This window comes from Homo sapiens, chromosome 9 (genome assembly GCF_000001405.40).
Source record: "Homo sapiens chromosome 9, GRCh38.p14 Primary Assembly".
Taxonomy (NCBI): domain Eukaryota; kingdom Metazoa; phylum Chordata; class Mammalia; order Primates; family Hominidae; genus Homo; species Homo sapiens.
Window position 1 is genome coordinate 122,605,771 of NC_000009.12, and position 27,475 is coordinate 122,633,245.

A 27,475-nucleotide genomic window follows, 5' to 3' on the forward strand; every position below is an offset into this window, starting at 1 on the left:
CTGAATCTGGACTTGGTTGCAATTAGGGGGAGAGGAGCTACAGATACCAGGAAGGAAGGAGTCTGTTGCTTTCAGGATAGCTCCATCTCAGAGTACAAATCAAGTGTAAAAATTGGATCTTGTCCAGACATTGGATTGGACCAAAGTAGACTAACTCACGTCAATCATGTTCACAAAAGATTGAGGCATAAGCCAAAAATATCCACATCTTCATTTGCTTTGAGAACTGCAACTGTCAAATTGAATGGATATTTAAATTCCCTGATGGTGCATTCCCTCCTTATAGAAAATATGCATGAGACTGAACTAGAGTCAGAAAATGACTTGGTGAATATTGAAAGGCAGTGTAGCACAGTGGTTTAGAACTTAAGCTTTTGACTCAGACAAACTTCACTTCAATACCTGCTGCTGTAGACTTCAGCAATTGCATCGCCACCCTGAACTTCAGTTTCTACATTTTTAAATAAAGATATTCACAGTGCTGGTGCACAGGGCTATCACTTAAGTGAATTCAGAACCTGGCAATGGCTAGTGCTCAGCCAGTATTAGCTATGATTATTACTCCAACTTTTTTCATAGTGTCAGAACAAGGGCTGTGGATTGGATAAACTTAATGTCCAGTATTATCTATTTAAGAGATCCTGGTATATCCTCACTATGGCTTCTGTGGGAAAAAAGGAATTTCAAGTCCCAAATCAAGGTATTCTTTGAGCGGCACTAGAGACAAATTAAGGTGTGGCTTTGGGGGCAAATGAAGGATTTGACACCTTCTATTTAGATGTAAAATATATAAATCTCATAAATAAATATAATAAGGCAAGGAAGGGTTCAGGAGCTGGAATAGACCATCTAAAGTTTAGGTTTTTAAATCCAAGGGGCCAGGAGAAGCCAAACTGACTGGAGAAGCACCTGTGAGTGAGGAGCACCTCTGAGTGAGGAGCATCTGTGAGGAGCACCTGTGAGGACCACCTATCCTATGTGGAGCACCTGTGAGTGAGGAGCACCTATCCTATGAGTGAGGAGCACCTATCCTATGAGTGAGAAGCACCTCTGAGTAAGGATCATCTGTGAGTGAGGAGCACCTATGAGTGAGGAGCATCTATGAGTGAGGAGCACCTGCAAGAAGCACCTGTGAGTGAGGAGCACCTATCTTATGAGTGAGGAGTACCTGCGAGTGAGGTATATCAGAGGTGTTAGGGAAAGCATGTGTCATTCCCAGGCATGCTTGGGGATACTGGAGCAGAATTCAATGCATTTCCTGTAGCTTTTCTTAGGGAAAGCCAAAATATTACTCTAAGTAAAGTGACTATGATGAAAAAGTCTTGCTCCATAACTTCAATTTTTTTTCTTTGCACAAAGTCAAATGATTTGATTTTTGTTCTACTTACTTGCCAGAGCTGCTTTTTAGAGATGACACCCTGGTTAACTTGTCAGAATTCTGGGTCTCTCAAAATCTCCATATTGGCTTCTGGACCACCATTTAAATTAGTTCAACCCATCACATCCATCACACTTAAAAATAATCTTTTACTTTCAAAAATAACACATGCTAGTAAAAGAAATGGTGTGTGTCATACAGAAGTTGACACCCACCATTCTTCCCCCCACACTCACTCCCTAGAAGCAAACATTATCCATCTTTTGAGTGTGTTCTTCTAGATTGTGTTCTTATTCATACACAAATATTTCTGTTTCATTTTTACTTAACTGTAACTATGCGTATACACACTGTTCTGGTATTTTACATTTTTTACTTAATTATATTATTACTAAGAGAAAAGTACTTGTGTAAACAGATAGGACATGTACAATCCAAGGCACACTTTTACTGGTGGCTGATATGTATCATATGGACAGCTGAAATAGTTCAAAGGAGCCTTAGATATCTTATCAAATACTGACACCAATCGATAACTTGACAAATGGTCTGACCCAAACTTTTTAACATGCACAATAATAAATCCAAGCTTTCTCAAAACAGAATTATTTAACCACAGAATTTTTTCAAACAGGAGTTTGAAGTACTTTTAACACAGCATTATTTTACTCTTTTGCTACTTATAACAAAATGTATTTCACACAGAATTTGAGACATGGACAGAAGAAACCAGACCTGCATCTATGAATTTCTTCTCATGGGCTTCTCTGAACACCAGGAGCAGCAGGCTCTTTTGTTTGGGCTTTTCCTGGTCATGTACTTGGTCACTGTGTTGGAGAACCTGCTAATCATCCTGGCCATTGGCTCTGACCTGCACCTCCACACCCCCCATGTACCTCTTCCTGTCCAACCTGTCCTTTTTGGATATTGGCTTTATCTCTACAATAATTCCCAATATGCTAGATCATATTAGCTCAGGAATTAAGCTGATTTCTTATGGGGAGTGTCTGACACAACTCTATTTCTCTGGCCTATTTGCAGATCTGGACAACAACTTTCTCCTGGCTGTGATGGCCCTTGACCGCTATGTGGCCATCAGCCATCCTCTCCATTATGCCCTAACCATGAACTCCCAACGCTGTGTCCTGTTGGTGGCTGTGTCATGGGTGATCACTATTTTACATGCCCTAGTGCATACCCTCCTAGTGACCAGGCTTTCCTTCTGTGGTCCAAATATTATCCCTCACTTCTTCTGTGATCTGGTCCCACTCCTGAAGCTGGCCTGCTCCAGTACTTGTGTCAATGATCTGGTGCTCATCCTTGTGGCAGGAACACTGCTGATTGCGCCCTTTGTCTGCATCCTTATGTCCTACTTTTACATTGCATTGGCCATCCTGAGAATTGATTCCCCAAGGGGTAAGCAAAGGGCCTTCTCCAGCTGCACTTCCCACCTCTCTGTAGTCTCTCTGTTCTATAGCACAGCTATCGGTGTCTATTTATGTCCTCCATCATCCCACTCAGATGGAAAGGACAGAGTCTTCTCAGTCATGTACACGGTGGTGACTCCCATGTTGAACCCCTTCATCTACAGCCTGAGGAACAGGGATATGAAGGGGGCACTGGGAAAACTGCTTGGAATAAAAACATCCTAACACCCTTACTCAAGACCTTAGGATCCTGACCCCAAGACTCAGAGCTGGGAGTGGATCAGTCTCCTGAGAGCCCAACCACTATAGCGTCTCTCAGCCCAAGACTTCATTGTTGCCATGTTTACATTTTGAAATGGATGAGGAGAGAACCAGTGATATCAGTCATCTTTAATCATCTTCACAAAATGTTCATGCCCTGACTAGTTCATTATCCACTCTCAGAATTGTTGTTTGTTTTTGCCAAATGCCTGCATGTGGGGGACTTGTATGCATATAAAATGAAAACAAAAGCCTAAATTTTTGATTAGCTCAAGTTATAAAGGAATTCCAGTAAGTGGCATGAGGGGGAAATGTGGAAATGTTTAGAACTTGTGGTACATCTAATATCCTCTGAAATGTCTTAAAAATAATGATGTAGGTCTGAGAGTGCTGTAGGAGGTCCATGATATATTGATGAGAGAAACAAAGAAAGCTCCAGAACAAATGATCCTATTTTTATAAAAACAAAATTTTATATATGCATGTTCATATGTGCATAGAAATTGTCTAAATGGGTACATGTCACAATAATAGCAATTACTCCTAGAGAGAAATCAGGTAGGGAGTGGTGAGAAACACTCTCAGTTTTTATTCAACATATGTCTTACTGCTAATTTTTTAAAAATATAAGTATGTACCACTAAAAAAAGCAAATAAGACGCTGCATCTCTAAGAAAGAACTAAGGGCAGGGAGACAGTCCCTCCCTGCCTTGACCATATCGAAATTTCTGTGGGCTTCCTTCTCAAAGCCAAATTTGGAGCACATGTAGTCAACCCCATGTCCAGACTGATCTCCCAGGTCCTGGCTGCTCTCCTGGGATCAGCTGAGCTGCCAAGCCACAGTCCCTAATACTGACACCAGGAGCACTGTCTCATGGGCCTCACTCCCCAGAGAAGTCAGTGAGGTTGGACAATGACACATTTGGGACTCCATGCTAGTGAGAACCATGGAATCCATGCAGAAGCATGTGATAAAACATCAGCTGCCAGCACCTTCCCTAGACAGGTCCTCCTGCCCCTGAAGAGCAGAAGCACCACCAGGAGTCTGGTGGCTCTACCCCTACAGCCCCTCCCTGATGCTTTTCTTTCTTCTATTCTTGGAAATTTCCTCTGTCTTCGCTGAGTGGTCAGCTCCACGCTGCTGTCAAAACAAGACATGATGACAGATGCTGCCTGAGGCGGATTGGGAGAGCCAGGGCCAGTACAGCTGAAAGGTAAATATCTGCTCTTAGGAGCCTGCACACCAGAGCACAGAAGTTTCTGGACACCTCCGACAATTCCTGTATAGGCTTTCAGTAATTTCTGGAGGGAGGACCATCTTTCTCAAAACTGATCCTTTGTACAATACTATTGAGTATTGTGAAGTTTGTCTTTGACTTCCTAATCGTCTTGTGTTTTTCCTCCCCTCGTCATGCCTCCTCCTCACACCATCCTCAGACATTCTGTGTCTTTATGGACTCTCCCATTTCCCCTTATCAAAACCTATCCACAAAAGAGTATGAATGATTTATAGGTTGGTGCAAAAGTAATTGCAGTTTTTGCCATTATTTTCAATGGAAATAATTGAAAATTATTCACTAATACATAGTGAAGAGTAAAATTTTCCCTGAATCAGAGAAAATAGCTAATAGATTCCAGAGATTTTCAATCCGTCAGGGAGGTATTAAGAATAATCAGAGTTAGGTGGCCCAGAAATCATCCGCTGGAATGGTTTTTCACTGTGTGTCTTCTCTTAACAACTGACCCAGATTTTCTTCCCATTTCTGGGGATTAAGAATCAGAGAAACTCAGAAACTTTATTAAGTCATGTTATCCCAGTGTCTCCTCTATTTACAAAGGGCAGTTTACGGATCCGATTGCTGGCAGTTATAGAAAGCTATTCTGGGATAGCAAAGGATAGGAAACCCAGGTTCCCACAGAAATTTAAAATAAACAACTTCTCACTGTTTCATGGGACATTTAAAGGGCCTTCATGTCTGTAGTCTCTTCTGATATTTTATATCAAGCTTCTACATCGAAAGCAGTTATTATTCTTCCCATTCCCCAGAGGAAGAAACTGAGGCTTCCAAGAAAGGAAGTGGTTTTCCCAATGTTTCAGAACATTTTCATGGCAGACCCGGGACCAAAGCCCAGATAGAAAATGGAAATTTCCTGGGTCAAGCTCCATTCCTGCACACCACATTACTGTTTTATTTTAAAATCCACATCCTTTTATAAAGTAATGTTCTCCTCTAGGAGTTCCCTATTCTTAGTCTCCTGCCTCCTTGTCCACACCACGCTCCTCCCCTCTGCCATAAGGGGCTCATACGCTGCACTATAGGTCAGGCAAGATGATTTCTGCCAGCCATGAGGAAGACAAGGAGGACTCTTAAGTTTCTAGGCAGCTCCCCACCATCCACTTCTGGGACTCTCTCTAGCCTCTTGGGTAGCTGTGTCACAAGAGCTACATAGATATTGCCCAGGTAGCATCTGGGCACAGGCTACCGACTGTCAAGTAGAGCTCAGTCCACTCATAGGCCTTTCCCAAGATCTGGAAAGAAGGATTAATCTTACGTTTCCCAAACCATAAACTCAGGGCCACCTGATGCCCAGCCCTGCAGGCTAGAGATATGAATCTTCATTTGAAGAATCCAATTACAATGCCACATTGATAAGAGAAGACCAGCACAGGGAAGGAATGGAACGTGGGTGTTAAATCGGTGAGGTCAGAGAGGAAGAGCATTGCTTCCGAGTTAGACAGATTGAAGATCAAGCTGGATCCAACTCTACTCTATTTGACCTTGAGAAAGTTAATTAGTCTCCCTGGTCCTCGGTTTTCATGATCTCAGTATGGGAATAATAATATCTATGCTTAGTTTTATAATGAGAATTAAACAAAAAAATGATAGGTACTTATCATTGTCCAATGCACAGGATAGCACAGTAGAAAAGAAGGAAACAAAGAGGAAAATAGAAACTAGAATAGCGAGAGAAAACTTAAGAAGTAGCATAGCCCCATGGTTGAGAGCATAGGCTTTTGAGGTCAGGCAGAGCTGAATCCAAATTTCATTACTACCACTTATTAAATCTGTGACCTTATGCATGTCACAGGACCCTTTCAAGCCCCAATTTCCTCATTTATAAAGTGGAGCTGATACCTATGTCATGGAATTGCTGTGATCACATGAAAAACATATATACAGCTCTTAGAATAATTCCTGGTATATAGTAAGTGCTCAGTAAATGTGCACTTTTATTTCACATTCATCATCATGCCACATTGAAATCAATTCAGGATATTCAATATCATATTAGGAATTGCCACACTTTTATAGTTGAAAAACCTACTGTTTGTTCTCTTGAGCTGTACCATGGTGGCATCCTTTAATTTGAGGCATGAAAGCAGACAGACCAGGAATGATAAATTCTATTCTGTGAAGAAGAAGCTAAATAAGTGAAATGGGCCATCAGGCACGTATGAGCACTAGAGGTATCCAGACGTAAGTGTGAAGTCGTTACCACTTACTACTAAGTTATACTGAGTGAATCACTTCACTTCCCTAAGCCTTGGTATTCTCATATATAAAATAAGGATAATAAGTGATTGTGACTAGGACACACAGCTAGACACATACTGAGATTGCTACAAGGACTATCTGAGATATGTGTAAAGTGCCTTACATAGGAACAGTTCTTAACTGCTGGCACTTTTTCCTCCCAACAACCAAATTGCACAGTCTGAGAATTCTTATAGCCATAAACACATTTTATTTGTGGACTGCCAACTCTGATCTCCACCTCAAAAAGATTATTTGGTTATTATTTACGACCAGATGAAATCATTGTGACTAGCCTGTGATGAAAAACCAGACTCATAGAATATTGCTTAGTTTCTGGAAATGACATTTTAAGGACAGAGGAAAAGTGAACAGTGTCACAGTAGAGACCTGGATGGCAGAAAAACCTGGAGACGCTATGTTTAACAAGACTGAAAAAAAATGAAAGAAAAAATCACCAACATTTACTGAATACTTTACAGAAACCAGGTACTTTCATCTAATCCTTGTAACAACTTTAAGTGTAATAAACTATAAAAATCCCCATTTGACAGATGAGAAAATGAAGGCTGGGCTTTTAACCACTGCACAGTGCTGCACGTTTAGATTTCTCAAGGGCTGTCATGGTGAAGAATAACAGGCTTGTTGTGTGAGATCCCAGAGGACCAACCTCATTCTGCGAGACAGAAATGAGAGGCAATTATACTTTAGCTTCTCCTGTAAAAAAAAAAAAAAAAAAAAAAATCTGACAACTAGAGCTTCCTGCCACTAAAAGCGTTCAAAAGGAGAAAGGATGATTATTTCCCCAGGATCCTATAAAAAGAGACTGAACATTGATTGAGAAGTTGGGTCAAGTTCTCAATCAATGAGTTTATAGTTTTCAATGATTTATAGTTTTTGCTTATATATGCTTTTTTATTAAGACCCATGCGCTTTTAAAAAGAGGCATATAAAATTATCCATTTGATGTTTAAATAGCTATAAGTATATAATACATGGAGTATTGTACTTTTAAAACAAAACTTTACATTATTTCTTAAAATGTACCCAATGACATCTAAACACAGAGTGATTTGATAATCACATCATTCATTTTTAAAATGCAAGAACAAAGTCATCCTGAAAATGTGTATGTTTTACATTATTCCTTCTCCATTTAAACATGTATTTCCATTCTTCTCCTATACAAATTTTATCCTGTTGTAATAAATGTTTATGCTGGAAAGTCTCTTATAATCACCTATATTACTTTTCACAATAAAAAATAAAAGTTTTTTTATTTCTTATGACCACAAAATTTTGTGTTAAAATAATTATGAAAAATCATCTACATTGAGTTATTATCACAATTATTACTAATTGGCACCAATTTGGTCAGTTTAAACAACTGACCAAAACTATGTAATTGTTAGCTTCAATTATATTAAGTTGCCAACATTCACCTATTTTGATCTACAAAAATAGTAATTTCATATGGTAATATATCACAAATTTTGAAAATAATTGTTATTCCTAAAAAGATTTTAATTAAAGGCATCTAGTAGGACTTTTTTAGTTCATATATCTAGAAATGAGTATTACTTATTACTAAAGTAAGTCAAAATCAACATCAATTATATTACCATTTAGTTTTCATTTGTTACATGGGAAACAAGATTATGCACTAGGTGACATCTTAAAGATAAGAAGAGTTTAGAAAAGAGAACTGTGGAAATTGAGGATCTAGACAATTATTTTCCTAAAACCATTATTCTATGTACTGAGAAGTCTCTGGAGATCAGCAAGAGTATGTGTCCCCCAAAGTGAAAATTACTGAACCAAATGACCTCTGACCTCCCTTTCAGCAGGCAGATTCCTTGGTTATATAGCTCATCAATAGGTCTTATTACCATGAATAAGATGGCTTGGTTTTAATCTGGGGAGTCATGTCATATAGTGGCTAATAGTATAATCTTTGGCACCAGATAAATGTGACTTAAATTGATATTTTGCTCTTTATGAACTTAAACTTTCCGTGCCTGTTTTCAAATTTGTAAAAGTGAAATAATAATAATAATAATAGTAGTAGTAGTAATAATAGCCTCATAGAGTTATTGATTTAAATGTGATAACACAGAAAAGTCCCTGGTTTAAGGTAAATGTTCTGTAAATGTTAGCTATGGGGCTATTAGGTTGGTGCAAAAGTAATTGTGGTTTTTAGCAGTACTTTTAATAATGATGATGTTAATGAAAAATCCATATTATCTTGGAAAAGTCATAAGCACTTAATCCCTTTATCAGCACAGTGTGTAGTTTACACTGGGGCACAACAGTGACTATATGTCCAAGTCTATAGAACTAATTCTTTTTGTTCTTATGGCAACAGATGGACAACAGCAACTGGACCAGTGTGTCCCATTTTGTTCTCTTGGGCATTTCCACCCACCCAGAAGAGCAAATCCCACTCTTCCTTGTTTTCTCACTCATGTACGCAATCAATATTTCTGGCAACTTGGCCATCATCACACTGATTCTCTCTGCTCCACGCCTCCACATCCCCATGTACATCTTCCTCAGTAACTTGGCCTTGACAGACATCTGCTTCACCTCCACCACGGTCCCCAAGATGCTGCAGATTATTTTCTCCCCTACAAAGGTAATTTCCTACACAGGCTGTTTAGCCCAAACTTATTTCTTCATTTGCTTCGCCGTCATGGAAAACTTCATCCTGGCTGTGATGGCCTATGACAGGTACATTGCCATCTGCCACCCTTTCCACTACACTATGATCCTGACTAGAATGCTGTGTGTGAAGATGGTGGTCATGTGCCATGCTCTCTCCCACCTTCATGCCATGCTGCATACCTTTCTCATAGGCCAACTAATCTTCTGTGCAGATAACAGAATCCCCCACTTCTTCTGTGACCTCTACGCTCTGATGAAGATCTCCTGCACCAGCACCTACCTCAACACCCTTATGATTCACACAGAAGGTGCTGTTGTAATCAGTGGAGCTCTGGCCTTCATTACTGCCTCCTATGCCTGCATCATCCTGGTGGTCCTCCGGATCCCCTCAGCCAAGGGCAGGTGGAAAACCTTTTCTACCTGCGGCTCCCACCTCACTGTGGTGGCCATATTCTATGGCACCCTCAGTTGGGTCTACTTCCGGCCCCTTTCCAGCTATTCAGTGACCAAGGGTCGCATTATAACAGTCGTGTACACAGTGGTGACTCCCATGCTGAACCCCTTCATCTACAGCCTGAGGAATGGGGATGTCAAGGGAGGCTTCATGAAATGGATGAGCAGAATGCAGACTTTTTTCTTTAGATAAAACCCCAAACACAGTTCAGAGGTTTACCTATGGTTCTGGAGAAATAATGTTGTGCCTCACAGATCTGCTTTCTTTAGAACTTTCCAGAAATATCTAAATTAGCTATATATCATGTGTTTTCTCACTGGATATTGCCCAGAGAAATCTATTAAATCCAAAGTACATAAAACAAAAAGGAACCACCATGTACTTAGTGTAAAACACTAGCGTTTCTTTAACTATAATTAACAGGGTTCTCTGCAATTAAACACTAGGGTTGTAACTCTCAGAGTTCTTAGATGTAGGCAATAGAAACTGATTCTGGCTTATGCATGGAGGAAATGAGTTTCTTGAAAAGATATGTGGAGCTCATGCATTTCCAAGGCTAGGGAACTAGACTCAAGAAAAATGGACAAGAATAATAAAGGTCATATCATCAGAACTGCAGTGAAAATCATATCCCAGAACTAGTCTAATGAGGACACTACTGTAGCCACCAAACTCTATTCACTGCAGCTTGTACCTCCTCCTATACTACCAGCAGTAGTCACTGGGCATAGTTCTTGGAGGTCTATAAACTGGTTATTACCACTTCCAGAAAGAACTGTCCCCTTCTTATTCTTTTCACTACTATGTCTAGATTCAAAATAAGGTGGTGCATCTGACTGGTCAAGAATTTGGTCACCAACACATCCCCTAGCTGCCAGGAAAACTAGGAGAGCAATATTGGTGCTTTTATTTTCTATAAGTTTATAGAAGTCAGGTGAAATGGGGTAACTACTCCAATATAAGAAGAGGAACATAATGATAATGTCTACTATTTGGAGTCAGAAGTTATATATGCTCCAGAATGAAGCACTGTCATGCTTACCAATTTGCATTTTTCTTAACCTGCTTTACCTGCACTACTCAGGGATAAGTCAAACTCATTTTGCCTCAGCATGTTCCTGATCTCTTCTGTAGTTGATATGTGGAACTGGTCTAATAGTGGGTGAAAATTGATTTGTCTTCTGACCAATCAATACTGGGCATGAAGAACAGGTTCAAGCATCAAGAGTCTGTTAAAATGTTGATTCTTCAATATTATTAAAAGACCATACTGCCCAAAGAAATTTATAGATTCAATGCTATTCCTATGAAACTACCAATGACATTTGTCACATAATTAGAAAAAACTATTCTAAAATCCACATGGAACCAAAAAAGAGCCCAAATAGCCAAAGCAATCCTAAGCAACAGGGACAAAGCCAGAAGCATCACACTATCCAAATTCAAACTATACTACAAGGCTACAGCAACCAAAACAGCATGGTACTGGTACCAAAACAGACACATAGAGCAATGGAACAGAATAGAGAACCCAGAAGTAAACAACTACATGTTAGCTGGTTATGTTGAACATTAATTGATGCAGTTTCTTCATGCATCGATGGTCTTTACAATTTGGCATGTTTTTTCAGTGGCTGGTACCGGTTGTTACCTTCCATGTTTAGTGCTTCCTTGAGGAGCTCTTGTAAGGCAGGGCTGGTGGTAATAAAATCTCTCAGCATTTGCTTGTCTGTAAAGGATTTTATTTCCCCTTCATTTATGAAGCTTAGTTTGGCTAGATAGGGAATTCTATGTTGAAAATTCTTTTAAGAATGTTGAATATTGGCCCCCACTCTCTTCTGGCTTGTAGGGTTTCTGCAGAGAGATCCACTGTTAGTCTGATGGGCTTCCCTTTGTGGGTAACTTGCCTTTTTCTCTGGCTGCCCTTAACATTTTTTCCTTCATTTCAACCTTGGTGAATCTGACAATTATGTGTCTTGGGATTGCTCTTCTCAAGGAGTATCTTTGTGGTATCCTCTGTATTTCCTGAATTTCAAGGTTGGCCTGCCTTGCTAGGTTGGGGAAGTTCTCCTGGATAATATCCTGAAGAGTGTTTTCCAACTTGGTTCCATTCTCCCCATCACTTTTAGGTACACCAATCCAACGTAGATTTGGTCTTTTCACATAGTCCCACATTTCTTGGAGGCTTTGTTCATTTCTTTTTACTCTTTTTTCTCTAATCTTGTCTTCTCATTTTATTTCATTAATTTGATCTTCAATCACTTATGTCCTTTCTTCCACTTGATCGAATCAGCTATTGAAGCTTGTGCATGCATCACAAAGTTCTCGTGCCATGGTTTTCAGCTCCATCAGGTCATTTAAGGTTTTCTGTACACTGTTTATTCTAGTTAACCGTTCGTCTAACCTTTTTTCAAGGTTTTTAGCATCCTTGTGATGGGTTAGAACATGCGCCTTTGGCTCGGAGAAGTTTGTTATTACCGACCTTCTGAAGCTTACTTCTGTCAACTTGTCAAACTCATTCTCCATCCAGTTTTGTTCTCTTGCTGGCGAGGAGCTGTGATCCTTTGGAGGAGAAGAGGTGCTCTGGTTTTTGGAATTTTCAGCTTTTCTGCTCTGCTTTTTCCCCAACTTTGTGGTTTTATCTACCTTTGGTCTTTGATGTTGGTGACCTACAGATGGGGTTTTGGTGTGGATGTCCTTTTCATTGATGTTGATGCTATTATTTTCTGTTTGTTAGTTTTCCTTCTACCACTCACACCCCTCAGCTTCAGGTCTGTTGGAGTTTGCTGGAGGTGCACTCCAGACCCTGTTTTCCTGGGTCTCACCACTGGAGGCTGCAGAACAGCAAATATTGCAGAACAGCAAATATTGCTGCCTGATCCTTCCTCTGGAAGCTTCGTCCCAGAGGGGCACCCGCCTGTATGAGTTGTCTGTCGGCCCATACTGGGAGCTGTCTCCCAGTCAGGCTACACGGAGGTCCGGGACCCTCTTGAGGAGGCAGTCTGTCTGTTCTCAGAGCTTGAACACCATGCTGGGAGAACCACTGCTCTTTATTGTATATATTCAAAAGCTGGAAGAAAGGATTTTGAATATCTCCAACACCAAGAAATGATGAATGTTTGTCATGATGAATATGTTATTTATCCTGATTTAATCATTATATATTGTGTACATATATCAACATGTCACACTATACTCCATATATATGAACAACTATTATGTGTCAATCAAAATAATAATTTTTAAAATAAAATAAACATAAACACAGAAAAAAAGATTAAAGATACCTGGATCCCTGATGCCATGGAGTGCCTCTGTGGCTCTGGACTGACCAACTGCAAACTTTTTGAACATTAAATGTAAATAAACTTCTATATTATTTCCAAAAACAACAACAAAAGGAAACCAAAAAAGAATGTCTCACCAAAGAGAAAGTATATATAAAGAGATAGAAATTATAAAAAGGAACCAAATGGAAATCTTCAAAAATGCACCCACACAAAATAAAACAAACTCTTGCAATTAATAAATGAATAGAGCTAATAAACCAGCAAAGTTTCAGCATAGAACATGAACATCAATAATCAACTGTATTTCCATATACTAGCAATGAATAACCTTCAAAAGAAATAAAATTTAATTTATAATAGTATCAAAAAGAATGAAACAGGAAAAAATTTAGCCATGGATATGCAATACTTGTATACTGAAAACTACAAAACATTGCTGAAAGAAATTTAAGAGACCTAAATAAATAGAAAGACATCCATATAATGGACTGGAAGACTTAATATTCTTAAAAAGGCAATAATCCATAAATTGATCTACAGATTCAATGCAATTCCTATAAAATCTTTATTATTTTGTAGAAATGGAAAAGCCAATCCTGAAATTCAGATGAAATTGCCAGAAACAATGAGTAGCCAAAACTATCTGGAAAAAAAATGAACAAATTTGTAGAACCTACACTTTCCTATTTCCAGAATTATTACAAAGTTATGAAATAAAAGAGGATACAAACAAATGGAAGAACATTCCATGCGCGCACGTAGGAAGAATCAATATCGTGAAACACAGGTAGGACGTTTATCAGTAATTTGATTCACCCAATAAGCTGCTTTGCTTTATTTGTGCTTCCAAATCCTCCTGTTTAATTTCACTTTTCCCCATTTCCACATATGGCACAATCAGGAGCTGTCCTATATGCTCTCCTGGCTCTGCTTTCCAGGGAAGAGAAGTAGATAAAACAATTTGAATTTCCGCATTGTAATCTGAATCAATGACTCCCGTTTGTACTTGTACCCCTTTTAAATTTAAACTTGACCTTCCTAGAAGTAATCCTATCATCCTAGCTGGCAAGGGTCCACAGACCCCTGTTGGAACTTTTTGCGGGAGTTCCCCAGGCATAAGGCTCACAGCTTTTGTGCAACATGAATCTACTGTGGCACTACTGGCTGTGGCAGGGCACAGACATTATACAGGGGTGAGGGAATGGCCTGAGCCAGAAATGCCCTGGTTTGGAACGGGGCCTGGGATGGGCCCCTCATGGCATTTCCTGAAATCGGGTTCCCATCTTTATCAAATTTAGAGTGACACTGATTAGCCCAGTGTTTTCCTCAGGCTCAGTAGTTTTCCTTTTTCGCCTATCTGGCAGCCTGACTCGCTGATTTTTTCTACATTCTTTTTTACTATGACCATGCTTCCCACAGTTAAAACAAACTCCAGGAAACGGAGTATTTCCTTTATCCACTCTCAGTCCCGCCATTGCTTGGGCTAGCAGAGTAGCCTTATGCACATTACCTCCGATACCATCACAGGCCTTGATATGATCAACTAAATGTGCTTTCCTGAATTTAAAAGGAAAAGGCTCAAATGTAGCTATAATATTTCCCAGTTGATCTTGGGGGGTGTATTCTAACAGGGAACTGCCAAGCCTCTAAATCACCCTCTCTTCTAGCTTGCTGAACTCCTGCCTGAATAGAACTGAGAGCGGTCACTCAAGACGCTGCTCGAACAGTCACTGGGGCAACTACTTTTCTCCCAGTGTCCTCCAGAAAAGAAAGATCTAGAGGGTCAGGCCACTCTTTTTTTCTTCAAAATAAGGAGGGTATGCAGAAGGGTAGGGATGAACCTCTTCCTCCTTTGCCGCTTTAGCTTTAGCTGGCAAACAAACCTGCTCTGTCACCTCTTCTGTTACTTCATTATACTCTCCTTTTTCCTTATCATTAGTGTGAAAAGGTTCCAAGGTGGAACGAACCAGAGCCCACACTTGTCCCACTGTTACCCTGATGCTTCCAAGCTCCCCTTCTTACTCATGACAGGGATTGCTTTAAGAGTACTCGGGTGTCCTCCAGCTTAGTTCCACATTCTCCAACTGTTGCTCCAGCGACACTTCGACCTCAGTTTGAGCCTCCATGTTGGGCACTGCTTGCCGAGACCAGCTCGGTCGTGGAGACCCTAACCCAGTGGCACTAGAGGAATTAAAGACACACACACAGAAATATCTTGTGTGGAGTGGGAAATCAGGGGACTCACAGCCTTCAGAGCTGAGAGCCTCAAACAGAGATTTACCTACATATTTATTAACAGCAAGCCAGTGATAAACATTGTTTCTATAGATTATAGATTAACTAAAAGTATTTGTAACTGGAAACAAAGGGATGGGCCAAAACAAAAGGATGGGTCTGGCTAGTTATCTGCAGCAGGAACATGTCCTTAAGGCACAGATCGCTTATGCTATTTTTGTGGTTTAAGAAAGCCTTTAAGCGGTTTTCCACCCTGGGTGGGCCAGGTGTTCCTTGCCCTCATTCTGGTAAACCCACAACCTTCCAGCGTGGGTGTCGTGGCCATCATGAACATGTCACAGTGCTGCAGAGATTTTGTTTATGGCCAGTTTCGAGGCCAGTTTATGTCCAGATTTGGGGGCCTGTTCCCAACAATAAAAGCCATGTCGTACTGGCAAAAGTATAGAAATATAGGTCACTGAAATAGAATTGAGAGTCTAGAAATAAGTCCATCTATCTAAAATCAATCGATTTTTTTTACAAGGGTCAAAGAACATTCAAGGAGGAAAGAACACTCTCTTCAACAAATAGTGCTGGAATAACTGGTTATTTATATGTAAAAGAAAGAATGAAGTTAGACTCATTCTTTCCTCATACCATATACAAAAATTAACTCAAAATTGACCAAAGACCTAAGTGCAAGAGCTAAAACTAGGGAAACCTTGTTCACTGTTGGTGGGACTATAAATTGGTACAGCCATTATGGAAAACAGTATGGAGGTTCCTCAAAAACTCATACACAGAACGACTACATAATCTGCTTCTAGGTTAGGGGGAAGGAAGAGATGAATAGGGGAGCACAGAGAATCTTTAAGGCAGTCAAACTGTTCTGTATGATTCTGTATGATTCTTTAATGCCACTACGCATTTGTCCAGACTCACAGAATGTGCTAAACCAAGAGTGAATCCTAATGTAAAGTATGGATTCAGGGAGACAGTATGTCAATGTAGGGTCATCAATGTTAAGAAATATACCACTACTCTGGTGTGGAATGTTGATAGTGGAATAGACTATGTACATGAGAGAAAGAAGTATATGGCAGCTCTCTGTGTTTTTTGCTCAATTTTGCTGTGAACCTAAAGCTACTTTATTTATTATTATTTTTTGAGACAGGGTCTCACTCAGTCACCCAGGCTGGAGTACAGTGGCACAATCATAGCTCACTGCAGCCTCAATCTCCCAGGTCAAGCCATCCTCATACCTCAGTTTCCCAAGTAGCTGGGCCCACAGAGGCCCACCACCATGCATGGCTAATTTTTTTTTTATTATTATAGAGATGAGGTCTCACTATGTTGCCCAGGCTGATCTTGAACTCCTGGCCTCAAGTGATTCTCCTGTTTTGGGCTCCAAAAGTGCTGGAATTACAGGAATGAACCACCATGCCCAGCCCTAAAGCTACATTAAAATATTAATCTTATTTTAAAAAAATAAAATAAAAACCAAATGCATTTGCAGCAATAGCAGAAAAATCATGGTAAATCTCACAGTATGTGTCAGAAGGCATCCAAAGATATGTTTTTGAAAAATGTAAATATGACCAGCAGTTAAATAAAAGTAAGATGTATAAGCTTCTAGATATCTAGTGGGGGTAAAGATAACAAAAAATGTGAAATGCAATACAAATTATGAGAAAAAATGAGCTAAAATAAGATCATATACTGTCTGAGTAACCCCACATCTGGAAGTAATCCAAACTATGGAGGAAGTGTATATATTAATTGCAACACAAAGGAGACAACATTAATTTACAGAAGAAAACAAATAGTGGTGTACCCACTCAGTGTTTATTGTAGGAAGTTAAGAGATCACATCCCTGTTCCGCTCAGCTTCTAACCAACGGAGCAGACAAAAAGGGTCACATCAGGATCAAAGCTTTATTATAACAGTAAATCTGTCAGTTAGGGCTGCTATAACAAATTAACATAGACTAGGTGGCTTAAACAATATTTATTCCTTGCAGTTCTGGAAGCTGGAAGGTCCAAGATCAAGGTGCGGGCAGATCTAGTGTCTGGTGAGGGCAGGCTTCCTTGTTTTCAGATGGCCATCTTCTCATTGTATCCTCACACAGTGGAGCGCCAGAGAGACAGGATAAAGAAGCCCTCTCTGACCTCTTCTTGTAAGGGCACTAATTCCATTCATGAAGCCTCCACCCTCACAACCTGATTATCTCCCAAGGCTCCCACCTCCTAACACTATCACCTAGGAGGTTAAAGTTTCAACATATGGATCTTTGGGGGACCCAAACATTCAGTTCATAACAGAGTGACTCTTCTCTTCCTCCTCCCAATTGAGGATAGTTTCCCCTTAACCTTTCCTGTACCTGGACAGAGAGAGCAGAAGCGTGACTACTTACAGTCACATTAGTTCATACAGCCATGGTTCCCAATCCTGGCTTTGCACCTGGAGAGAATCAAAAATATCCCTGTCTGGGCCCACCTCTACTGATTCTGTATTAATTGGTCTGTAGTATGACCTGGGCATCAGTATACTTTTAGAGCTATCACATGTTTCTGATATGCTGTGGGATTGTTCTGTGCCACTCACACAGAAGATTGAAGCTCAGGGCTAGCCAGAATAAATGTAAAGATTACTAATTAGAAAAATTCCTCCTCTTCCTGTGTATAAGTGGTAGGTGAGGGTTAGACTAGAAATTTTCCTGCCAGTTTGTTTACTTCTGCACTGTGAGGTAAGATTGGTTCTCTTTATGGACACTTGAGGGTGAAGAATTAAATGGTTCCTACCACCAGGTATTTAGCAGCCATGAAAATTCTTATAACAGTGACACTGTAACACCATGGAAAATTATTTTGACATTATTTTAAACATTTTTGCAAAACTGTATGTAAATTGTTATTATGAAAATATGCATATGAATAAAATTTTTATATTCTAGTGGTAGGATAATTTTTTAATCAAATAAAGCACACTAAGACCCTGCTACTTACTCAATGTGTGGTCCACTGAGCAGCAACATTGGAATTACATGAAAAATTATTATTAGAAATAAAAGTTCCATGTAAAGTTTGAAAAGCACTGTGCTAGGAAATTGTCAAAAGAAGCAGAAGCAGAAGAAACAGAAGAGGGAGAGGAAGAAAAGGAAAGACAGAGAAGAGAAGAGAATAGAGGGGGCAGGGGCAGGATTCCAGGAAAATGTATAATTTGTTAAGAAATTAAAAAGGTATCTTTTTCACCAGTGCTGTACAAACTGTGAGCTTTTCCAGCAAAAAAGAACATAGTTGTCAATGGGTGCTTATGAATATTTGCACATGCTTTGTGACCAGCTGCTTTGGGAAATAATTAATAAATATATAACATAGCCTTTTCTCTCTTCAACAGTATAATCCAGTTTCAAAAATGATGCTGATGGACTTGAAAAATGGACCATAATCATAACAACTTTTCTCTGTTACTTAACAGTTTACAAAGCAAAATTGCATGCACAATGTTAGAAGCATAATTAACTTGTGAAGAAAGTAATGCAGGTATTATCATCTCTGGGAAAACCCAGGCTCACAGATGCAAGACCTCAATCAAAATGACACAATGAGGAAGTGATGGGATTGAGTTGAACAAAAGTGGATGAAGCCTGATGACTTCAAATCCAATGCACATGGGCTGCATATGTGCTGATTCATGCAGTACACTCTGTAAGATTAACACCATGAACAATGGAAGAGATTGACAGCAAGGAGGCCCATTTGTAATTTGCATAGGAAGTGATAAAGATCTAGATGAGGTAAAAGTTATGAGAATTGAATATAGTTCAATTTGGAGGGGAAATATGGAATACAAGCCACAGGTTAGTTGGAGACAGATGATCTGATCAAGGGTTAACTCCAAGCAAGTAAATTATTCTTTCTGTGCCTCATGGGGGTAATAACAGCAATTACTTCATCAGGTTGCTGAGAGACATAGTGAGTTAATATGTGGAGAGATCCTCAAACAGTGTCTGACACATAGTAAATGCTATATAAAAGCTATTACTACTACTCAGATGCAAGAGATTTTAGGAGGATTAATTGATAAGCTTCAAAACACATCACATTAAGCCAATGGTCTTGACTGTAGCTACGTATTAGAATCATTTGGGGAATATTTAAAAATACTGACACCTAAGCTTTACCTCATAGCAAGTGGATCCAAATCTCTAGAGTGGAGGCCCAGGAAACTGAATTTTTTAAAACTCCCAGGTGATTCTAACGCACAGTGAAAGTTGAAAAGCACCGATATAGACAGAGGAAGAATTAGGCTTGACTTATTGGAACCTTAGATATCAGTGGTGATAATGGCAATAAATGAAGAGCTGTGGAAATGAATCTACTGTGAGGATTTAATTTCCTAGATTTTCACTGTAAGGTGATATTAATTTGAAAAGAGAAGTGATATATTAAGAGTGGATGAGTTCTGTGACAGGATGAGACAAGCATAGGCAAGGTGCCGAAGACTTGAAGTAGAAGGAAGAGATGTCACACAAGGTACAGAAAAGATGGAGAGACATTAGAGGACAGCAATGGTACAATGTCATGGGAGCCATGCATATGGGTGAGGTGATGGTTCCCAACAAACTATGTCAAAACTCACAGGCAGACAATGTACATTAAGCATTGAGATAAGACCACTGGATGTTGCCAATGGTTTGAGAAAGGTAGAATGTATTGAGTGAACAGAAGATGCTGGTGAGAGGACAGTGTGGAAGTAGTCAGGGGAATATAGAAATTATACCTGAAATGGGGAGATCCCAGGGATTGAAGTAGTACCTTGGGATGTGGGTGGAGGGGCTTATAGAGGAATAAAGACAGAAGTCAGCAAACTCAGTAAGGAGAAGTAGCAGAGAAGACCAGATTTTGGCTGGACCAATAATGCTGAAGGTGTCCCAAGAAGAGTGTTGTGTGATTGTCAAGGTGCCTTCTAGAGTTCTTACAACTCTAGAAGCCATAGATGATGTCCTGGAAATCCTCAGCACAGGAAACCCTGCTTACAATTACATTACAATCTATTTGAGTGAAGCTGCATCTCAAGTGGGGTGAAGGGCAAAAGTCAATGCATAAAAGTGAAAATCGAGTACCCTCAAAATTACCATTTTAATATTTTAAGAAGCACCGAAGTGGAGAGCAATTTTCCAGCTGCCAAAAAGCTAAGCAAAGTACCAATGTTTTAATCAGTGTTAAGATAGTTCATTGTTCCTTCTTTTATGCAACAAAGTAGTTAGCTTGCATTTTTCTGTCTATATTTTATTTTTAATGCACATTAAAAATTAATTTAATTTTGTTGATTCTTTCACAAAACCAGCTCCTGGATTCATTAATTTTTTGAAGGGTTTTTTTTTTGTCTCTATTTCCTTCAGTTCTGCTCTGATTTTAGTTATTTCTTGCCTTCTGCTAGCTTTTGAATGTGTTTGCTCTTCCTTTTCTAGTTCTTTTAATTGTGATGTTAGGGTGTCAATTTTGGATCTTTCCTGCTTTCTCTTGTGGGCATTTAGTGCTATAAATTTCCCTCTACACACTGCTTTGAATGTGTCCCAGAGATTCTGGTATGTTGTGTCTTTGTTTTCATTGGTTTCAAAGAACATCTTTATTTCTGCTTTCATTTCGTTATGTACCCAGTAGTTATTCAGGAGCAGGTTGTTCAGTTTCCATGTAGTTGAGCGGTTTTGAGTGAGTTTCTTAATCCTGAGTTCTAGTTTGATTGCACTGTGGACTGAGAGACAGTTTGTTATAATTTCTGTTCTTTTACATTTGCTGAGGAGAGCTTTACTTCCAACTATGTGGTCAATTTTGGAAGAAAACCTAGGCATTACCATTCAGGACATAGGCATGGGCAAGGACTTCATGTCTAAAACACCAAAAGCAATGGCAACAAAAGCCAAAATTGACAAATGGCATCTAATTAAACTAAAGAGCTTCTGCACAGCAAAAGAAACTACCACCATCAGAGTGAACAGGCAACCTACAAAATGGGAGAAAATTTTCGCAACCTACTCATCTGACAAAGGGCTAATATCCAGAATCTACAATGAACTCAAACAAATTTACAAGAAAACAAACAAACAACCCCATCAAAAAGTGGGCAAAGGATATGAACAGACACTTCTCAAAAGAAGACATTTATGCAGCCAAAAGACACATGAAAAAATGCTCATCATCACTGGCCATCAGAGAAATGCAAATCAAAACCACAATGAGATACCATCTCACACCAGTTAGAATGGCAATCATTAAAAAGTCAGGAAACAACAGGTGCTAGAGAGGATGTGGAGAAATAGGAACACTTTTACACTGTTGGTGGGACTGTAAACTAGTTCAACCATTGTGGAAGTCAGTGTGGCGATTCCTCAGGGATCTAGAACTAGAAATACCATTTCACCCAGCCATCCCATTACTGGGTATATACCCAAATGACTATAAATCATGCTGCTATAAAGACACATGCACACGTATGTTTATTGCGGCACTATTCACAATAGCAAAGACTTGGAACCAACCCAAATGTCCAACAATGATAGACTGGATTAAGAAAATGTGGCACATATACACCATGGAATACTATGCAGCCATAAAAAATGATGAGTTCATGTCCTTTGTAGGGACATGGATGAAATTGGAAATCATCATTCTCAGTAAACTATCGCAAGAACAAAAAACCAAACACCACATGTTCTCACTCATAGGTGGGAATTGAACAATGAGAACACATGGACACAGGTAGGGGAACATCAGACTCTGGGGACTGTTGTGGGGTGGGGGGAGGCGGGAGGGATAGCATTAGGAGATATACCTAATGCTAAATGACGAGTTAATGGGTGCAGCACACCAGCATGGCACATGTATACATATGTAACTAACCTGCACATTGTGCACATGTACCCTAAAACTTAAAGTATAATAATAATTAAAAGAAAAAAAATTAATTTAAAATATATAAAATAGAATTCAAATGCATCAGAGTTAGATGCTCACACTATAAGAAACCCATGGAACTTAATCCTAACTCATGGAACAGTAGAATCATGATTATCATTTCATACTCACTCTGGGACATATTTTTGCTCATTGAATGGAACAGGTAGCGAACTTAGCCCTATTTGTCTAAACTGTCATCTTCCCTTACTTTCTGATATACACAAACACACTCCCACAAGAACACACACCAACCTAAATGTGATGATGATGATTAACTCTACTGCTCTTCGTTTAGTTCATAGTTTCACAATCCTATCCTCATATTCCCTCAGAACTCTAAAATTAAAACTACCCAGACTTGGTAATTCTTTTTCATCCACTTTGATAAAATAAAAGGCCTGATGGAGGGTGCCCAGAGGTATGCTGATAAGGGAGCCCTGATCTTATGTGTCTATGAATGTGGAATGTTCATGGCTCCATCAAAGCACAACATTGACAAGAGCCAAATCTGGAGTTCCTTAAGTTATCTAGGCCCTCCACCCCTCTGATCTCCCCAAAACCAACTCTGCTCAGAATATGCCCATGACTTTTCTCACCTATTCAATATGGCCCACAGCAGGCTAATCAGGGGTCTACCTTCACCCATTCAAGCAGCCTGCAGAGTGCACCCTTGACATCCTTATTGTGGAGGCTATACACAAATGGGTTGGCCAAAGGTGTAATGGCAGTATACATTACTGAAGCCACCATGTCCTGATACTGAGAGTTCTGGAAGGGAGGCTGGAAGTAGACACAAATGATGGTGCCGTAGAGGAAACCAACCATGGTGAGGTGGGATCCACAGGTGGAGACTGCTCGGCGGCGACCAGCAGCTGAAGGCAAACGTAGAATAGCGGCCCCAATTCGGACATAAGAGAGTACAATGAGGGCACAGGGGCCCAGCATAAGGAAGCCACCCTCAAAGAATATGGCCAGCTCATTAGAATGTATGTCAGAACAAGAGGCTCGCAGAAGTGGCCGGTGGTCACAAAAGAAGTGAGGAAGGTTAACGTTGCCCCCAGCATCCCCAGTCCAGCAAAGAGGCAGGACGAGTCCCACACGCAACATGGTGTGCAGTATGGACACCACCCAGCTCAAGGCTAGTAAGCAGGCACACCGTTGGTGATTCATTACCAAAGCATAGTGCAGGGGGTCACAGATGGCCACATAGCGATCCAGAGCCATGACAGCAATGACAAGTGTATCTGTAACCCCAAATGCATAGAAGAAAAAGAACTGAGCCAAGCAGCGGGCAGCAGGAATGGTTGGGTAATGAGAGACCAAATGGGCCAGCAACTGGGGCAGTGTAACTGTGGATAGCCCCATGTCTATCACAGAGAGGCCACGAAGCAGATAATACATGGGTGAGTGCAGTCTGGAGTCCCAGGAGATGAGCAGCACCAGTGTCACATTCCCCAGTATGGTGGTCAGGTAAATAGCCAGGAACAGGAAGAAGAGGAGAGTGTAGGAGATGTTAGCTCTCGAGAACCCAAGGAGCAAAAAAACCGGAGAGTGTGAAGCATTAGGGGCAAAGCTCATCATGAGTGACAGTCAGCCTGCCTGAAAGACAGTTTAAGTCAAAAAGAAAGTCATGGGTCTGATGTTAGGGATCATAGCATTTCTAGTTAATTATATTACGTTACTAAAGATCGTTAAAGACCTAGATTCGAACTTGACCATCTACTCTCCCTCCCTAAGGTCTAGGATTTCGCTTCCTTAATATGTATTTATTTTCTCCTTTATTTCTTCCTTTTCACCCACCCTAGTGACTTGTTCCATCTAATTCACAAGCCCTACTAAAGTCCCTCCCACAGTGAAAAACTCTTCATTCATTCTTGTCTTTTCATCCAACTATTTCTTATCTTTTTCCAGTGGCCGACTTCATGAAAGAATTATCTATATTCACTGTCTCCAGTTCCTTACCTTCCATTCACACCTCACCCAACTGCAATCCTCATGATGTCTTCTCTCTGAACCTGTATGGAAAATAACATACCATTAAAACACATACCATACAAAGAAACAATTCTTTCGACATAGCTGACTTTTTTACATTTTCCTCTAAGGTCTGGAACAAGACAAGGATGTCCACTTTTACCACTCCTATTCAACATAGTAATAGAAGTTCTAGCCAGAGCAATTAGACCAATGAAAGAAAAGCCACCCAAATTGGAAAAGAGGAAGCCAAATTATCCATGTTTGCTGATAACGTGATCTTATATTTAGAAAAACCTAAAGACCCCACCAAAAAACTCTTAGATGAGATACTGCTTTAGAATGTCATGAAATTACTTTTTCTTTCTCTTTATTCCCTGTGTTAGTTAATAGCATTATCATTATCATCAGCCTGATGCACAAACAAAAAACTGAAGGAATTACTCCATCATCTCCCACATCCAATCATTCCTTAACGTCTATGTTTTCCCTTATATCCATTCTTTGCTGTTAGTCCACTATGACTATTTAAGTTTTAGCATCTCTAACCAATACTAATTTCTACAACCTCATTACTGGTTTCTCTACTTGACTCTCCTGATAGGTCTTCCATACTGATACTGGAATAAAACTTTCAATATGTGACTCCTTGTTTAAATAGTCAGGGACTTCAGAATAAAATCCAAATGCTTAATCTGTCTTGTATGGAACTTTCATTATTAGTACCTAACTTCTCTTAGAATTATACTGAGTCACCTATCCAGGGTTTTTTTGTTTTTGTTTTTGTTTTTGTTTTTTTAAGACAGTCTCACTCTATCACCCAGGCTGAAGTGCAGTGGCTTGATCTTGGCTCACTGCAACCTCTGCCTCCCAGGGTCAAGTGATTCTCCTGCTTCAGCCTCCCAAGTAGCTGGGACTGCAGGCACACATCACCACACCCAGTTCATTTTTGTATTTTTAGCAGAGACAGGGTTTCACCATGTTGGCCAGGCTAGTCTCGAACTCCTGATCTCGTGATCCAACCATCTCGGCCTCCCAAAGTGCTGGGATTACAGGCATGAGCCACCGTGCCTGGTCCCAGTGTTTTAAACTAGACATTTTTTCTTAATTCTCAAACATGGTAAGCTCTCACACCCCTGCACATCTTCCCATTATTTTGAGAATTTGGGCTTTCTGAAATATGAGGTATGTAATACAATCATCCACACATGCCCACTCAACACAGAAACTTAGAGAAAATATAATAATCATACTTTTTTTTTTTTTGAGACGGAATCTCGTTCTGTCGCCCAGGCTGGAGTGCAGTGGCACGATCTCGGCTCACTGCAAGCTCTGCCTTCCAAGTTCATGCCATTCTCCTGCCTCAGCCTCCAGAGTAGCTGGGACCACAGGCGCCCGCCACCATGCCAGGCTAATTTTTTTGTATTTTTAGTAGAGACGGGGTTTCACCGTGTTAGCCAGGATGGTCTCGATCTCCTGACCTCGTGATCCGCCCACCTCGGCCTCCCAAAGTGCTGGGATTACAGGTGTGAGCCACCATGCCCAGCCAATAACATACTTTTAAAATCATAACTAAGCTTTCAAGAACATAAGGGAAATACAAGAGTCTGTAATCAAAGAGGAATATGAAAAATTAATATCTAAAAACTATCTGTGATTATGGAGGTAGTGATGGCAGGTGACAGGTGGCAGGTAGGTTCAAGGGCATCACATCAGTCTTCATAGTCCACAGGTTTGATTATTAACATCCGTGTGGAACAGGAGATAAGAGCTTAAACCTGTATGAGGCAGGAGGTAGAGACCACCACATAAATTGAGGACACTCAAAAGGCTAAACTTTCAGCAAAAGGGTATACACGAACAGGAAAACACACACACACACCTACACCCACACAGGGTATGTGAGAACAAATGAAAATTCAGATCGCTCAGTCTGGACTACATGGAAGGAAAAGTGCTTTCCATGGGAATGCAGTTATGGATCTGTACCACATAAGAAGTGCATAATGCTAATTTACAAAATACATACAATTCTAGAACTCTCAAAATAAAAAATCAACATAAAAATTATCTTCATACAGGTAAAAGCATTGGAGTACCTTTTAGAAGTGAACATAAAACTTCTCAGTGACTTATAGACTCTAGACAGGAATCCCACAAACAGAAATCCACCAAAGATGAGCTCACAATTCAAAATTACAAAACACACATAAAGTCTATTCATTATGAAGATACTCATCAATCAACAAATAATGTGATAACCTCCTCCAAATGTCATAAAATTAACCAATCTGTTAAGGAATATACATTATATTTAAAGTACTTAGTGTCTAAGAGAGAAAATAAAGATTATAAGAAAGAAGTTATCAAAAAAAAAACATATTTTTAAAGGCCCAAAAAGAATTACTAGAAAACAAAAACATTCACATTGAAATGAAAAACTCAATGGATGGGTTAGACAGTGGCTGAAGAGAGAAGTTAGTTCTTTTAAAAATTTTTCTCTATTTCCATAGGTTTTGGAAGAACAGGTGGTATTTGGTTACAAGAGTAAGTTCTTTAGTGGTGATTTCTGAGATTTTGGTGCACCCATCACCCAAGCAGTATACACAGCACCCAATTTGTAGTCTTTTATCCCTCACCCCCCTTCCACCGCTTCCCCCAAGTCCCCAAAGTCCATTGTATCATTCTTTTCCCTTTGCATCCTCATAGCTTAGCTCCTACTTATGAGTGAGAACATTCAATGTTTGGTTTTCCATTCCTCAGTTACTTCACCTAGAATAATGGAAAGCAGCTAATTCTAAGAAAAATACCCAGGAGACAGTACAAAGTGACCCAGATAATATGAAGGGGGTTTGTATTAGTTTGTTTTCACCCTGCTGATAAAGATAATATGAAGGGGGGTTGTATTAGTTTGTTTTCACCCTGCTGATAAAGGCATACCCAAGACTGGGCAATTTAGAAAATAAAGAGGTTAAAAGGACTTACAGTTCCACATGGCTGGGGAGACCTCACAATCATGGCAGAAGTTGAAAGGCACATCTCACATGGCGGCAGACAAGAGAGCTTCTGCAGGGAAACTCCCCTTTATAAAACCATCAGATCTCATGAGACTTATTTACAATCATGAGAACAGCACAGGACAGACCTGCACCCATGATTCAATTACCTCCCACCAAGTCCCTCCCTGAACACATAGGAATTCAAGATGAGATTTGGGTGGGGACACAGCCAAACCATATCAAGAGTTAAGAATTTCAGGAAACAAAATAAGAAGACCCATTATATATCAAATAAGTCCAAGAAAAAAACTGGATACT

The 27,475-nt window shown here is 39.9% G+C and overlaps 2 protein-coding genes, 1 long non-coding RNA gene and 1 pseudogene across 4 annotated transcripts in view; 3 read left to right on the plus strand and 1 right to left on the minus strand.

The window, feature by feature from the left end:
• Positions 2,095 to 3,028, plus strand: OR1H1P (olfactory receptor family 1 subfamily H member 1 pseudogene; annotated as a pseudogene).
• Positions 3,937 to 27,475, plus strand: part of LOC124902265 (uncharacterized) — a 29,979-nt gene continuing 6,440 nt past the window's right edge. Inside the window, exon 1 of the long non-coding RNA XR_007061759.1 lies at positions 3,937 to 4,280. This is a non-coding gene — a long non-coding RNA (uncharacterized LOC124902265). The remainder of the gene's footprint in view (positions 4,281 to 27,475) is intronic.
• OR1Q1 (olfactory receptor family 1 subfamily Q member 1) lies at positions 8,968 to 9,912 on the plus strand. Its single transcript, NM_012364.1, has one exon. The coding sequence runs from the start codon at positions 8,968 to 8,970 to the stop codon at positions 9,910 to 9,912; it is 945 nt and encodes a 314-aa protein (NP_036496.1).
• Positions 22,355 to 27,475, minus strand: part of OR1B1 (olfactory receptor family 1 subfamily B member 1) — a 29,503-nt gene continuing 24,382 nt past the window's right edge. For both annotated transcript variants that reach the window (NM_001004450.3, NM_001409693.1), the window contains exon 2: positions 22,355 to 24,199. In NM_001004450.3, coding sequence (NP_001004450.2) covers positions 22,809 to 23,762 — 954 coding nt within the window. In that variant the 5' untranslated portion in view covers positions 23,763 to 24,199 and the 3' untranslated portion in view covers positions 22,355 to 22,808. The remainder of the gene's footprint in view (positions 24,200 to 27,475) is intronic.

Excerpts from the sequence above, each read along its gene's own strand:
- OR1Q1 (NM_012364.1), top strand. The coding sequence starts at position 8,968 with ATGGACAACAGCAACTGGACCAGTGTGTCCCATTTTGTTCTCTTGGGC.